General features: G+C 45.5%; 2 long non-coding RNA genes across 2 annotated transcripts in view; one reads left to right on the top strand and one right to left on the bottom strand.

Moving 5' to 3' along the window:
• The window catches only part of LINC02966 (long intergenic non-protein coding RNA 2966), a 101,028-nt gene that overhangs the window by 60,136 nt on the left and 24,082 nt on the right, over positions 1 to 16,810 (bottom strand). The window lies entirely within an intron of this gene.
• Positions 6,286 to 10,555, top strand: LOC124906070 (uncharacterized). The gene is made up of 3 exons (XR_007087202.1): positions 6,286 to 6,441; positions 8,204 to 8,254; positions 10,472 to 10,555. It is a non-coding gene; the product is annotated as an uncharacterized LOC124906070 (long non-coding RNA).

The raw sequence follows: 16,810 nt of genomic DNA, 5'->3' as shown, positions 1-16,810 counted from the left end.
CAGGAACAGAGGTGAAGTTTCCCCTAGAAGGAGCCCTAAGTCTATGGGTTTGAGCAGCAAAGGCAAGGAGGCTTCAATCTTGAACCCAAGCTACTTCAAGAGGGTCTGGGCTGCAGAAAAAGCCCACCTGTCTAGGACCTGTCCTGTGAGCTATTGTTCTACCCCCAGGTGAAATCTACTCAATAAAAGCATTAAGACAGCATTTATTGACCAACTTACTTAAGGGCCAAAGGTCAGGAACTGCAGCTTCTATTAGGACTAAAAGAAGAGAGTGGCCTCAAAAGTTACAAATGACCTGGGGGAGTTATGAGATGTGGCACTCACCACTCTTTGGTTATGACTGTAATGTTGCTGGGAGCTAGACACTTGTCATGGCTGAGGCCCCAAGTATCTGTATGTGACATGACAGGTGCTCATAGACACCTGTCAAATAAATAAATAGAAGTCCTATCACTCCAAGTGAGCTTTGTGGCACACTCTCACAGCCACTCTCTCCTTTGGTTTTCCTGGCAGCTCTGAGAGTTAACCTCAGCATGCATTCTTAGCCACCAGTACACACAAGTCTCTTCTGGAGGCATCTCAGTAATAAGAGCAGCACAGAGTTTCTGAGCACAAATCTTATGAGCTTTCCATGATGCCACATGTTGAGGTGCCAGAGTGCTGCTTGGTAGATTCTGAGTACCTGTCACAGCTCCCTGCTTCTTTCTTCCCTCTCTCCAGCACAGGCTTCAGGGGGCACCAGATATTTGAGCCCCTGGTGGGATTTTACCTTAGGTTGTTCTGGATGTCACTCTCACTAGCTTCTCTGACTAGAAAGAACCAACTGAGACATTTGCAAAAGAATTGTGAGTTTCAAGTCGGAAGACCTAGGATCTAGGACCAGCTCGGCTCCCTGCTAGCCGAGGATCCCTGGCAAGTCAAGAAGCATTTCTATTCCTCAGATTCCTGATCTGGGGTGTGGAGAGGCCAACTAAAGGAAACAGGAATGTGACATGACCTCGATGGTACCTGACACATTACAGGTCCTGGAAAAACTGTTGTCGGGGATAAATATGAAAATGCATGCTAAGCAGTTATCCTGGGGCCTGGGCTCAGTAAACATTGCTACTACACTTACTGTTTCTGACCAGCTTTAATCCCTGGGATGATGTCTGTCTAGCATCCTCACACTGGGAGCTGCCTCACTCCCACCACTATGGTTTTCACCTCCCCAGATCCCTGAAAAACACCCCTGCCTCTCTGGTCTCCCCAGGGTCCCCAATCTCTCTGGGCTTCCCCTCGCCCAGTCCACTGGGCATGAGTCTCATCCAGCCTGGATGCAGAAGTCAGGCCCCTCCACCATCCTCTCTAACCTACTGCAGCCCCTGCTTCTCAAAGTTCCACCAAGTCTGTGGCAAAACCTCAGGTCAGGCTGAAGGTCCCCATCCAGCCTTTGCTGTCTCTCTCTCCCGCTGAGCAGAATCTTAACCATCTCATATTCATTTTAAGCACATTCCCTGTCCTGGAGCCCAGAACCTTCTCCAGGCCTCTGGAGCACCTGGTTGCACCCTTGCCTCCCTCTTCAGTGAGTGACTTTGCCTTCTTGTTCTGGGGAGTCAGGCCCCCTGGGGTGAGTGCTTCTCTGCATCCCATCAGGACCACAAGGCACATGGGGACATCAAGGGAAGGGAAGAGAAATGGGAGGGGTGACATGGGATGGAGGCATGGCATCCTGGCAGTGGAAATGGGCTGGAGTGTGGCCCTGGGGACTCACTGACCACTAAGCCTTGAGGGAGGAAGCGAGGCCTGATAGCGCATCTGGCATGTGGTAGCCACTCAGTAAATATCCACGTATGCGTGCCCAGTGTTGACATTTAATAAGCATGTTTTACTGTGTTCAACACCATCCCAAGAATGCTGGTGTCCAGGATCAAGCTGCCCATATCCCTGCCTTTTATGGACTCCAAGTGTGGGGAGGAACTGAAGAAGGGGAGACCTACCCAATTTCCATAACCCAAGATAACATGCTAGAGAGAGCACACAGTCTGTCGGGAGGCTCATTCATCTGCTTGGTGCAGGGGAGACATTGAACATGTTCAGTCGCAGATTTGTCTGAAGAAAAAAGACCAAACGAAGTGCAGGGAGCAGGTGGGAGGGTGTATTCTGCTTTTCAGAAATCATGTGTCCTCAGAGGATGCACCTTCCAAAGCCCTTACCATTCGGGCGGCCAGCAGCAATGGCACCCGCCATCTTGGGGACACGAGCTGCCCGTCTGGTTTGTCCTCTGCGCCTCTGCATGGAGTGGGATGCAGGCCAGAGAAACTGCTCTGTAGACAGGTCAGCAGAGGGAGTGGATCATGACAGGAGCTGGGAGATTGGCTTCTCATTTGGGCCCTGCAGCTGACCGTGTCACACTGTATGACAAAGAACATCACCCTTCTGCCCAAGGGCCTCCGTTTGAAATTAGGATCTTGGCCCAGATCAGTGGTTCTCAAACTTGGATGTGCATCAGGACCATCTGGAGGGCTTGGTAAAACACAGCTGCCCCCACTCCGCCACCACCAGAATTTCACACTCAGCAGGTCGGAAGTGGGGCCTGAGACCGATTCTAACAAATTCCCAAATGGGGCTCATGCTTCTGACCCAGGGACCACACTTTGAGAACCACTGGCCTAAATAATGACTACAGCTACTTCCAGCTGTGAGATTTTAGAATTTTGTTTCGAAGAAGCAGTGTAATACAGGAAGAAGAAATTAAGAAATAAAGGAGGATTTTAGAAGACACATGAGGCCTGGTGCAGTGGCTCACACCTGTAATCCCAGCACTTTGGGAGGTCAGGTGGGAGGATGGTTTGATGCCAGGAGTTTGACACCAGCCTGGGCAACATGGCGAGATTTCATCTCTACAATAAAACTTTTTAAGAAATTGCCAGGTGTTGTGGCATGCACTTGTAGTCTTAGCTACTCAAGGCTGAGGTGGGAGAATCTCTTGAGCCTAGGAGTTCTAGGTTACAGAGAGCTATGATCACAACACTGCACTCCAGCCTGGGCAACACAGTGAGACCCTGTCCCTAAAAGAAGAAGGAGGAGGAGCAGGAGGAGCAGGAGAAGTAGGAGGAGAAGAGGAGAAATTTCTGAACAGTCCCCTCAAGCAACAAGCAGGTACCTGGGCATTGCCCAGTCCTGGCAGAAATGGGGCTGTGGGCCTAGCAGGACTACTCTCTCCTTTTTTCTGCTCTTAGGATTTCTTTTCATTTGGTTTTCATTGGCTTCTACATCTGAGACCATATTTCACAGCAGCTGCTGGAGTCTGTAATGAAATACTTTATGGGAAAGCACTTTGAAAATATGAAGGAAAAGGCAGGGGGGTTATTTTGAACGTCTGTTTATATTTTCTGTTTTACCTCCATCAAAAAAGCAAATGATAGTTGCAATAAAAGACAGAGTTGTAGTTGCTGGGAGAGAGTTGAATGGGATGGAACTGAAATTACTTGAATTAAATAAGAGTCTCATTATCCCCATGCATAGGAACCAAATACTGAATAGATGTGCAGGGAAGCCTGGGTGGCCCCAGAAATGAAGGAGACATGCTTTCCCCTAGAACTGGGGAGGAGACATGCTCTCCCCTAGAACTGGGGAGGAGACATGTTTTCCTCTAGAACTGGGGAGGTGACAGGCCGAGGTGCCACAGGGCACAGGCGTGCAAGGGCCGTGGACATGGTGTTCATTTTCAGAGGATCTGGGAGCCACTTGCAGGCGAGTTCTTTCATACCTTGGGCCTTGAACTCTTGTGGGCCAAAATGCCTTGAGATCTGTGGTCAGAACATTCATTCAGTGCCCAGGGCCCAGAATGAGAGTTCAAGCTCCCTGACCCCTGGTCAGTGTCATTTCCACTGTCTCAGTGTCTTTCATGGTCTTGAGGTTTCTCACCTGCAAGTACAGCAGAGCTCCCTTAGACTTGGATCTGACCCCTTTTTATTTGGGGTTTTCTTTCTATGCAGGTTCAGCTGCTCCTTCTAGACACCTACACCTGCCTCTTATCCCAACACACAGAAGCATATAGATCTGCAGGGACCAACCAAAAAGCAAACTAAGCAGTTTGCTCATGAACAATATCACCTTACATGGGACCTCCGGGATCCCTGCCCCAGGCCCTGTGCCTCCACGGGCTCTGCTCTGGCCTCCTCAGCCATGACTCTTCCAATGAGGAGAAGCACCTGGGGGACCAAGGGGATAAGCCCACCTGCAGCCCCTCCTCACATAGCCCATGCTCCAGTACACACGGCTAACCTGGGGGTAGTCAGGGGGTGGTCAAAGGGTGGATATTTTGGGGGAGGCCTTTGAAGGGTCAAGATGTCCACCCATCTGTGCACAAGCCCCTCAGGATTCAGACAAGAACTGGGAATGGGGTCAAGGGAGGGCTCAGGCATTCATTTGCACTCTTGCATGGGTCCTGCCAGCACTCAGACCTGCCTATAAAACTCAGTTAAGTGCCAATTTTCCAGAGGAATTGCATTCTATTTGTATAGGGAAAGAGGCTAAGGAGACACAGAGCAAGCCAGCATCCTGGCAGTCTTCAGGCCTGTGCCAGGTCTGGCTGGAAAAGCCCAGGCAGACAGTTGCATGGCCTGCAGAGCCCAGAGGCCCCACTGTGCTGGTGGAGTTGTCCAGCGTCACACAAGAGCCCTTCTCAGAGGGGTCAGCCATGCTCTTCACCAAAGTTGTTTCAGGCCAAGATCCCAGCTACTCTTGAGAACACCTGTAAGTGGATGGTCGGCCAGGGTGGCGCCAGGCAGCCCAGCCTCAACAAACCCATGACCTTCTCCTGACCTCTGCATAGGGCCAGGTTGGGCAAAAGCCCCAGGTTCAGCCACTGGGCAATGTGGCATGGAAACACATTTGAGGCACCAAAGACCTGTTTTCCATGGGCATCACCAGAATTGAAACAGACTGGAACACTGAACTATTACCAAGAAGACAAATAGAAGTCTTAGATTTAACGCCCCAAAATCAGTTGAACAAATACCAAATAAAAGATACCCTAATTCACCAGAGCATTAAAACCTCAGTGTGTCAGGAAACCATAGCTTGTATAAGCCAATTCTCTGCTAAAACAAAAACAAAAATCAAATGCAAACTTAGACTGCATTCATAGAAGTATAGGGTTCCAAATAAAGGAATTAGAAATGGCCCAGGCCACATTTAATACACTGTGCTCTGTTGCGGTAACACATTTTTTAAACCACAATTACAAACCAAAATATTCTCTAATCCACAAATTAATTTGGCAAGGAGGTTGGAATGTAGGCTTTGGAGTATTTTGAAGAAATGGCTTTTTAGCCCAGAAAGAAGATAAACTGGGGAGATTTGAGAGCTACCTTCCAATAATTGATGGATCATATGAGAGATTGCTTGTTTCAATCTAAGTACTACAACAGGATTCTGAGAAGCACAACCCACAGAAATTGACACATACCCCACAGATAGAAATTGACACAACTTTTCTAGAGAACCACATGGCCCTCAATGTTAAGGCCATTAAGAATTCCCACATCCTTTGGCCAGGACTTCTACTGCTAGGAATTTATCTCAAAGAAGTAATCAGAATGTGGCAAAGATTTTCCTACAGTGATATTTATGGCAGTGTTGTTTATAATATTGAAAAATTAGAAACAGTCTAGGTATCCAAAACTAAGAATACCTTACACACATTGCAATATATCCATGCCACAGAAAATTTGGTGACCATTAAAAATATTTAATATGTTTTCAAAGACTTTAATGATATGAGAAATGTCAGAATGTCAGTGAAAAGAACAAGCTGTATACAAAATCTACAGTCAATGTGATTCCAATTTTGTAAAACCTATGCCTGCCCACACAAGCACAAATAGGAAGAAACATACCAAAATGCTAACAGTGCTCATCACTGCAAGTTATATTTATTGGGGATGCTTTCCAAATTATGTTTTCTATATTTTTCAAATTTTCTGCAATGCATGTGTCAACTTTATAATGAGAGAAAAGTACTTAGCATATTTGAAGAGCAGTTATATGCTGAATGAGCGGTAGATTCAGGGATGACTTGAAGCTGGAACTGCTCAAGAACAGCTTCCCAATGAGGTGTGACCTTCTCTCTGGGAGTGTCCAGGTCTGCACTGGGTGGGGGAGTTGAACAAGAGAGTGGCCAAGTGTGAGAAAGGTTGGGATGAAAAGGAAAATGACCTTTACTGAGCATCTGCTACAGACTGGTTTCTATGTTCCAAAGCTGAGATTAAAAATCAAAATAACTTCTGCAATGAACTAAAGCTGGTAAGTGTTGGAGCTGAGACCTGAATCCAGGACTTCCTGGCTCTGAAGCACAAATTTGAAGCAGCCTTCTTCACCTGCAGGAGCCAGGCCTGCATCAGTCATCTGTTTATAAGGCCAACAGCCTGATCACCTCTTGCAATCAACCAACAGGTAGGAAATCTTGCAATTGGTTACAAAAAATTGTCTACTGACAGATTTGTGTGGCCTTCAAGTAGAGACATCTCTTGGACAGGAATTGCTCAGGGAGTCACTGGACCACAGCTGGATTCTCAGAGTCCAGTGTTCCCTCATCACCACACTTCTTAAAGGCCAAGTGGCCTTACTTGTTATGTGGACCAAATCTCCAGCTGATCGACTCCTTTTTAAGCCTTTACGATGGAGTCCCTTCTATTCCAGAAGCTCAAAGCTACCTCCAGAGGAAAATAAGCCATCAGGGTTTAAGATAGCCTATACTGTCCCCTCACCTTTACTGTCTTCCCCACCTTAGCCATTTTGCTAAAGTGCCAAAGAGCACATGGCTCACCTCTCTGACCCAGACCACAATACTGAGTCAACCAAGGAAGTGACTCAAGGAACAGAGTGAATTGGGGATACCATTGAGGGCTCCAGACACCAAACCTGCAACGGTGATACATCTGTCTCCCACTAAGATTTTTGACTTCTAAAGGGTTACTTGAGTCAATGAGTTTTTATTTTCATGAGGGATCTTCAATGGGTCCCAGAAAAAAAACAAGTTATCTACATAATCATTCTTAGAACCTTCTGAGCACTGATGCATTCCTGAGCTGTCAGCTGCTGCTCCTCTCCCTCCCTCCCCACACCAGCTGCACACACACACACACACACACACACACACACACACACTCACCTTCCTGCTAAAGACTCTGAGCACCAAAAAATTTGAACTGTTCCTGGCTGTAGCCAACAGAGTATGGAAAGCAATTGTTTTCAGCAAAGTCTTGCCCAAATGTGGAAGATGAATGTTCTCAGTGGACAGGCCCAACACCAAGCTCCTAAGGAGCACCTTCCTACCTAAGGGAGGGAGATGTACAACCTGCATTGACAGACGCAGGGCCATCAGCTCTGAGGGCAAATGCCCCTTGCAGAACCTGTCAAGAAATAAAATTGTCTCCCATCTGAGAACTAGGGGTAGGGGTGAGGGACTTGAGGGAGAAGTATGTTTCTTGTTTTCTGATTTCCAGGGATTTTTAAACAGCCCTCAGTTTTTTTTTAAATAAGGGCTATATTATAGCTTTAAAAATAAGGGCTATATTTCCAAATCCTTCCTAAACTGATATATTTTCTAAGAAAAGGCAGTCTTTGAGCACCAACATATATTTAAGAGAGTCAGAAATGCCCGGCATGGGACACTTGGCTCCCATCCTTCATGAAACTATTTTCAGAGCATCTAAATATTTTCCCCGGACAACCCTAATAACCCACTGTGGGTCTCCAGCTATAGGACCTTGGGAAATTCATCTGACATCTCTGGATGTCACCCTCCTGCTCTATAAAATAAAGGTGTGATCATCAAGATGCCTCCCAGTTTTAAATTGTATGATTCAACTCAACTGTGAATTGGTGTAGACCAAGTGTTGGCAAACTACAGCTTGCTGGTCAAATCTGGGCCTTGCTAATTGTGTAAATAGCATGTTAATAGAACCCAGTCATGCTCATTCATAGGTACTGTCTATGGCTACTTTTGTACTACAATGGCAGAGTTGAGCATTTAGGGCAGTGTTGATCCACAAAGCCAGAAATATTTACTCTGATCTTTTACAGAAAATGTTTGCTCACTCCTGGTTTCAACCATTAGAAACTGAGAGCTTGAATTTGACAATGGGAAGCCAGGCGTTCTGTAGGGAGCTCACAGCAATATGTTCATAGGATGGGATTCTATTTATATTTTCAGCCTGTGCCACCTCTTGGGATCACACAGCAGGCAGCAAACTTATGGAACGTGGTAAGTAGAACTTTCTTGTCATTGTCCTAAAACTGCTGGTTGTAAGCTTCAGTGAGTGCCACCTTGGCAGGCAGGCTGTCTCCCTCTTGGTTCTCTCCACATCCTAGAGATTTCCATCATGCCCTGCTCACTCTGCCTTTTTTCAGATTTTACTGCTTTTTAAAAATCTGTCCTCAAACAGAAGCCTTTTCTTCCCCTTGAGTGTTTTAATTGCTCTTCTCTGGACCATGTCCAGGATCATTATGTCTTCACAAGAGCCTGTGACCAGACCTACACACTTTCAGGAGCAGACACTGTGGTTGCAAGCAAAGAGAAACATTTTGACTATGGAGCTCTGGGGTTGAGGGCTGGGCTTTGTGATCAGACCTGGGTTAGAATCCAGACTCTCACACCTTCTAGATATGTGACCTTTGTCAGTGACAGCATCTCTGCTACAGACCCTAAAGTGGTTGTGCATAATGAGTCAGGGAGATGACAAGACACGATGTTCAGTGCAGAATCTGAATATTTACTCATTCAGGTATACAGTTTGCTGACGGTGTTCTGTGTATGGACTCCCATCTTCAGAGAAGCCAGCTGCGATTTCAACTATACATATTTGTGTGTGTGTATATATAAATGTATGTATATATGTACATATATGTGTGTATATGTATAGTATATATGTGTGTACATATATATGTAGTTGAAATCATAGCCGAAGTCTCTGAAGACAATTCACAAATATACACACACACATATACATGCATATGTAATTGTATATACAGTTGTATACTATATATATCTATATATTGACTTATATACACGTATACATATATACACATATATTTATGTATTGAAAACTAACAAAATTTATCTTCCTAACTGAGCATGAGGCCCCTTGCAGGGACTCAGCTTTACCCATCTTTCTGTACACCTAGGGATGTGTGAAATACCAGACTACCTTGCTGAAGGGACCCTACAGGCCACCTTGTAGCCCAGAAAAAAAAAAGTCCAGTAGAATTGAGCCGTAAATGAGAAGCAGTAATCGCAATAAATACCTGCGAATTCATATTCTAAAGTGAATGGCTCTTGGAATTCTTGTTTTAAAAGTTATTTAGCAAACACTTATTGAACACTTAATATGAGCCAAACCCCTTCAAGTAGGGTGTGGCCTTTGCATTCCTAAGTATTGGTTTACAGCTCATTAGGCCTTTGACAAGGCAGCTGGGGTTGAAGAGAAAGGTAACCCTGGAGTGTCCCAAGCCATTGTCACCTGGAGGTAATGCATCTCTGCAGCGTTAGGGAAAGCCCGTGAGAACATAAGCTTTATTCACCAGCACCAAAGGTATGCTCTAGCATTTAGGAAATGCACAATGCCTCAACTCCTTCTGGAATCCCACCTGGGCACCCAGCATCCTGCGAGTACAATTCGTCTGATTTTTTTCCTAAGCAGGTTGCCTGAACTCATCTGCCCCTTAGCTGCTAGACGGAGCTACTCTGCAGTTTCAGGGCCACAACAGATACTGACCATAAGAGTCTAATCTCAGACACGGTTTAAACACAGATGGCCCAAGGAACTCCATCTGAGAGCTGAGGGGAGCCCAAAATGTCTCCCTGCCTCAGCCCCAGGTAACTCTGGGTGCTTTAGAAAGCAAAAAAGTTGCCAAAGGCCTCTGCTTGCGGCTCCCATTACCCCTGAGCAAACCCCTATCTCTAATAGGATCACGCATTAATGACAGAGACAGGTCCTGGGAAGATTAAAGGCTTCGTATAATTAAAAAGATAAGAGTGGGCCTGGGAGAAGGAAATTGGGATTCAATTAACACAAGGACTCTCCCCCCAGCACTCCCCCGCTATCAAATGTTCCACTCAGAAGGGCCTTCCCGACTTGCCAGAGAGTGAAAGGCTGAAGGGCTCTTATTTATGGCCTGCTTGGAGTTGGGCCTGGGGCCTTCCTTGGCTGGGGAGTTTGTTTACTTAGAGTTCAAGAGGGGAGGGGAAGAGCAACACAAATCCTGCAGGAGGAGGCCACAAGGTGCTTTTGACTCCTTTTCTTTCCCTCTTAGTTCCTCTGATCTTCTTGACAGGGGAAGAAAAATACTCAATAGAAGGTCTATTTCCTTCCTCCCTCAGCCTGAGGCTGACACAACAGGCTAAGGGTCACTGCTGAGAAAGCTCTGTGGGGTTATTTGTGTTGGGAAAGCACAGCCGCTTCCCCCTTTCCGTCTTTCTCAGGTTTCCATGGAGGCAGAAGGAAGATAAGGTTGGAGAAGCAGCTGCCTAAATGGCCTGTGGGCCTGAACATGAGGGGTGCCCGGCCCTCAGGGACCCCCACTTCTTGTGTTCTTTCAAAGAGTTTTCAAGGTGGAAGAAAACAGAGTTGACTGGGGTTGCAGACTAAGCTGACACAGGTAGGGTGGGGACAGTGTGGCAGGCTCCAGCAAGCACCGGATCAGTACCTTCAGCCCTAGTACTTCTCAGCTAACTAGTGGTAAAGGTGGGCCTGGGCCTCAGGACCTTATGGAAATAGACATGAAGGTCCATTTGGATGGATGGACTGTGTTTTAAAAGCCTCTGCTTTTGCTAATGGATGGTGAAGCCCGTATGCTGTTGCACCCTCTCCCAGACTCTCTTCACAGGGACCCACAGACTCCTCCACTAGAACCCTCCCCAGCAGACAGCAGCTCCCCTTCAGTTGGTCTGTGGGCACTCGAAGCTGTGTGCAACCAGGCCAATGAGGTTGGTGAGGCTAAGGAGGATGGCCTTGAGAAAAACCAAGCCAGGACGTCTGGGATCAAGAAGACAGAACACACTACAACAGCTGGAAGGAGTGGAGAAATGTACAGATAAAGCAAAATAATCAGGATATGAGATCTCGTTCCATGCCCAGTTAATCATCTATAAGCTGTATTCAAGGCTGCACATTAACTTCACGAATACGCCACAGACACCTCAAGTGCAAGAGGTTTAAAGCCAAACTCCGTGTTTTAACCACCCAATATGTTTCCTTCCTGTGTTCCCAATTCCAGAAAATGCCTCGGTTAGGACTTTCTGAGCCTTAGTTTTTCAACCCACAAAATGGAGGGAGCAATGCCTGCTCTGTCTACCTGGGCTGCCAGAGTCAGGTGAGAACCCAGACAGAAACACACATTGGAAAATAACAAATGTGAGGAAGACAGAGACCAGAGCATGCTCACTCACTGCCAACATTGGTCACCTCGTTATTGACTCTCAAAGGAGGGACCCCGTCTCACATGAGCATGTGATGGCACCATGCAAATTGCAATGGGCTGCACCAGCAAAAGAATGACAAACCAATGAGGCTGGCACCATAAGACAAGAGCACCAGAGACTTCCTTCAGATGCTACACACAGACATTTCCACAGAGACCCGTTAGAGACTAAAACTGAATTTTAGTATGAAACAAGGGACTGACAATGACAGCAGGAATTTTCAGCAAGAAGGGAAAGGAGAGCAACACATAGCGGGCTTGAGGGAGGGCTAATTGGAGCAAGCAGGGATGTGGTTAAAAGGGGAGGACCTCAGCGGTAATCAACTATATCGCTTATTTCCCAGTGGAACCATTTAAACTGAGAGAGGATGTGGAGGTTAGCCTCCAGCATGGCTCACAGTGATCCCCATCTCCTGGAAATCATATCCTTGTGTAGTCTCCTCCCAGACTGAATAGGGGTGACCTGGAGAACCAATAGGGTATTGAGGTGATCACAGTGTTTGACTTCTGCACCTGTGTCATAAAGCACATAATGACATCTGCCTTGGATCACTCACTCTGTGGGAAGCCAGCTTCCCTGTGGTGAGGACACTCAAACAGTCTTAGGAAGAAGCTTCCATGGAGAGTAACTGCAGCCTCCTGACAACAGTCAGCAAGGAACTAAGACTTCCTGCCAACAGCCACATGAGTGACCCATCTTGGGAGATGATTCTCCAGCCCCAGTCAAACCTTCAGATGATGTGGTTCCAGCCAACGTCTTGAGAGCCTGTGAGCAGACTCCCAGTTACACCACTCCCAGATTTCTGACCCATTATACTATGAGATAATTAATAAATGATTGTTGTTTCAATTCACCCAAGTTTGGGGTTGTTTGTTATACATCAACAGATAACTACTACAGAGGGTGTATTTCATTTCTAATTACTTTCCGTATTTTTATACTATATCCACAGTCATTACCTCATCTGATTCTTACACTTACTTATTTTCTCTGGCTCAAAGATTCATAAGCTGTGTCTTGGAGAAGTTAAGTAGCATTTCCAAATTCACATTATGCATGGTGGCAGATCCAGGTGAAATTCCAAGCATTCTGACTTCTCATGTTTTCTCTCTGCATATAATCCAGATGCTGAAATCACATTCTGTGGGCAGCTGCATCATTGAACATTGTCTGGAGCCTGCTCTATTTTGAAAGAACTCTTTGCTGCATGCTCTAGGGCACAGATGGAGGCAGCATCATAGGTGGGTTAAGGAGTTACCTCATCTTTGGCACAACCTGCTAAGCTAACCTGAGTACTCCCAGCCATTATTCCACAAGCCTCTACCGAGTGCCTCCTGTATGACAAGTGTCATGGAACTCATATCAACAGCATGCATTTCCTGGAGGCACAGTTCAATAGAGAGCTGGGGGTGAAAAAAAAAAGAGAAAAGAAAAAATAAGAAAGCTATAACATTTGAGCTTGAAATGTCACAGGGAGCCAAGGAAGTTGTCTGATGGATTGCCCTGTCATCGCCAAGCCAAAAGAAAAAAAACTTTCAGATCCATCAATTTGTTCCTGCCCTTTTAATCCAAACAATATTTTACAGCATCAGAACGCAAAGAAATTATTTTCTTAGACATTCAACTCCGCATGTGGACTGCTGAGCACTTAACCAGAAAGCAGCAAGTGAGAACTGTAGGTTGTTCAAGTGTCTGCACATCTGATTGATCCAGATTGAATGTATAATATACTGGAACACATATGAGAGCCTACTGGTGACATATGTTCATTCATTCATTCATCCATGAGGAGTTGACATCTCTTTGCCATAGACAATGAATTTGAAGAGACACCTGTGTACACGTGCACCAGCTGCCCAGGATGAGGACTGCTCCTGCCTGCTCTGGACCTGCTCCTCCCTTTGGCTGGCTTTCCAATTAGTGTAGACCTGTTCTCCAGTATCCCAGCCTCTCCTCGGGCCACATTTGAGGATACCACCATCCACCCCTTGGATCAAATGTTTGGCTCTTGGGCTCAGACCGTGTTGGGATATAGCTTTATTTGCAAAGTAGGCTGAAAAATTCCCTCTCCTGACAAGGAAAGCTGATTGGCAGTATGAAGAGTACATTGCAGAAGTTTTGAGGAGGACAAGCACTTACAATGGCTTTACAAGGATGGCTGGCCAAGTGAGATAGAATTTAACATGGGTATTTGTCAGCCCTCAAACAAGTCCTGCCTTCTTTCCTCCAGGTCTTTATTCACACTGCTTCTGCCTCCTCTAAGCAATCCTTCCTGATTTCCCCCGTCCCCTCAGTCAGTGTGCTCTCTCCCTGTCCCCTTGTTGTTGGTTCCTCTATCTTGGTGATCTGCTTTGCATGTGAACGACCCATGTGTGCGTCTATTTCTCTCACTATATTGTAATATCCATGGGGCTTAACTGTGTCTGTATTCCTACACGATGTCTAGCACAAGGAATAATAAATCTTTATTACAATGACTTGAATGGGAAGAAATGTAAAGTGGGCATGTCCTGTATTGCTTGTGGGATAAGTGGAGTCATCATCTGTTTGTTCATACAAAGACTTGTACATGAATGTTCATGTGAGCCTTATTCATAATCGCCAAAAACTGGAAATAACTCAAATGTCTACATCAATGCAATTGAATACTACTCAGCGATAAAAAGGAAAGAACTACTGGCGTATGCAACAACATAGATTAATCTCAAAGGCATCATGCTAAGTAAAAAGTCCAGACATAAAAAACTGTATACTGTTAGATTCTATTTATAAGAAATTCTAGAAAATGAAAAACTGTAGTGACAGAAAGCAGACTAGTGGCTGTATGGGACAACAGATGGCAGGAAGTGGGTTGAAACAGTGGGAACATTATTTGTTCCCGGGGACACAGGGAAGTAATAGAAATGAACTAATCCTGATTGTGGTGAAATTTGCACAGCTGTGTTCATATTCTCACACTCACCAAACAGTATATTTAAAATAGATGAATGTTATTGCATAAAATTATACTTCCAGAAAGCTATAGAAGAAAATTGGCCAGAATGTGAAGGATTTTGGGTGCAACTTAAGATGTTTGAAATCTATCATTGGCTATAGAAGCACTAAAATGTTTGAAGAAGGGAGAAATGGATGGTGTTGGAGAGAAGATACTGGGTACAAGAGTTTTTTTGTTTTTTTTTGTTTTTTTTTTGGTTTTTTTGAGAAGGAATCTCACTCTGTCACCCAAGCTGGAGTGCAGTGGCGCTATCTCAGCTCACTGCAAGCTCCACCTCCTGGGTTTGCGCCATTCTCCTGCCTCAGCCACCCGAGTAGCTGGGACCACAGGCGCCTGCCACTACACCCGGCTAATTTTTTGTATTTTTAGTAGAGATGGGGTTTGTCCATGTTAGCCACGATGGTTTTGATCTCCTGAGCTCACGATCTGCCCGCCTTTGCCCCCCGAAGTGCTGGGATTACAGGCATGAGCCACTGTACCTGGCCAAGGCTTTTTAATGAATTATGAAATAGAACAGAGAAGATTATGGCCTAGGTAAAGGTGGGAACAAAGGAAATAGAAATGATCAGATGGATGCAGGAGACTCAGCAATGAAATAATCACAGACCCTGCGATTGAGGACTAAAAAGATGCATGTTTTGGCTGAGCCTTTAGTTTGATGATCTTGGTGAGAGATGCTTGTACAAACCTGGAGCCAGCTTGGGGAGAAAGTGGGTGGATCCAAGGTCCCGAATTCTACCATGGAAACAAATTTAGAAACTTGGTTTAAGCTAGATGCCAAATTGATTCCACAGGATTGCCAAATATTAGGAGGGCAGGGACAAAGATACTGGCATTAGTGATGTGAGGAGGCATGAGACTCCATGTGGAAATGGAGGCTTATGGACATGGATTCCTTTTGTAAGGGCCTGCCCTCAGGAAGCCTCTCTGTCTGCCAGGTGAAACGTGTAAGAGGGAGCCAAGGAACTAAAGGGATGATTTAGGCCTGAGTGCCAGAGAGCATTGCACCACCACTGATAGACCCGGAGAACCCAGAATGGGAGATGCTCAGGGACAGTGGTGGTGAAGAGAAAATACAGAAAGGGAACTTTGATGGCATCCAGTCCTACCTACCTCGCCAAAGAAGACACTTCTGCTATGTCCCCAGTACCATTTGGGTTGAGCATTCTTCTAGAAACATGAAGTCTACTGCTTTGTGAAGAGTTGGCTCCATTACTGGACAGCTCTAAATGCAGGTGATGATGATGACGATGATGATGATGATGATGATGATGATGATGATGATGATGATGATGATACAAAGAGGAGCAGGAGAAGAGGACAGCTAACATGTATTGAGCAGTCTCCTTCTGCCGGACATTCTTCTAGGCTGTACATGCACTGTCTTATTTAATCCTCAAAATAACACTATAAGATAGGCACTATAATTATCTATCCTCGTTTTGCAGATGACAAAATGAAGGCACAGAGAAATGATATAGCTTGCTCAAGGTCATACAGAAGTGGTCGACCTGGGATTTGAACCCATGTCATCTGATGGCAGAGCCTTCACAAGACTGGCATGTGTTGCTTGCTAGTGATTCCATATCTACCTGTCTGTAATTTCTGTCTAATTCCATTTTCTGTAGGAATTCAAATCAGTAAACAGAAACTTTTTTGCATCTTTTCAAATGTGTTAAGACAGCAAAGTGTACATTTTCTCTGGATTTTCTCTTCTGTATGTTAAATACATCCATTCTATCAAGTGTTCCATAAGAGGAGATCATTCTAGTGCCCTTACCATCTTGGTGCTCCTTATTGAATATCCCTGAGTTGGTAATAATTCTCACTGAAGGTGAAAGCTAGAAGTAAACACAGTACTCCCAGTATGATTCAATCTGAATGGAGTAAAATAAGAGAATGTAGTGCATTATGGTTCCCTGTGTGGGGGTAGAGCAGATGGCAAGAAGACTAGGCCTGGAGAAAAGCCCACTGTAAAAGGATGGGGTGATACTGAATCAGAAAAGAAGACGAAACAATGAGTTTAAGGAGGATAAGAACTGAGAACTTAAACAGATCTGCTGGCTTAGGGAGAGTCATTGGGAAGAAATGCAGGAGCTATGGAAATAGTAGGTAATGAGCCAGCAGGAGGGACTACGTGTTGTCCTCTCTGGTTACAAAAGGAAAGGGAAAAGGACAGTGGCTGGTGGGAGGTGGAACAGACAGAAGGATCAAGTAAGAGGTTGTTTACATGCTAGGAAAGTGAGGATGGTGCATAAGGCAGGGAAAGGATTGTCAATAGAGAGGAAAGAATGCACGAAGAGGGAAAGACTGAAGTTGCTGCAGCCAGAGTCAGATGGAGACAG

Source organism: Homo sapiens, chromosome 2 (genome assembly GCF_000001405.40).
Source record: "Homo sapiens chromosome 2, GRCh38.p14 Primary Assembly".
NCBI lineage: Eukaryota > Metazoa > Chordata > Mammalia > Primates > Hominidae > Homo > Homo sapiens.
This window is presented reverse-complemented; position numbering and strand designations above follow the sequence as displayed.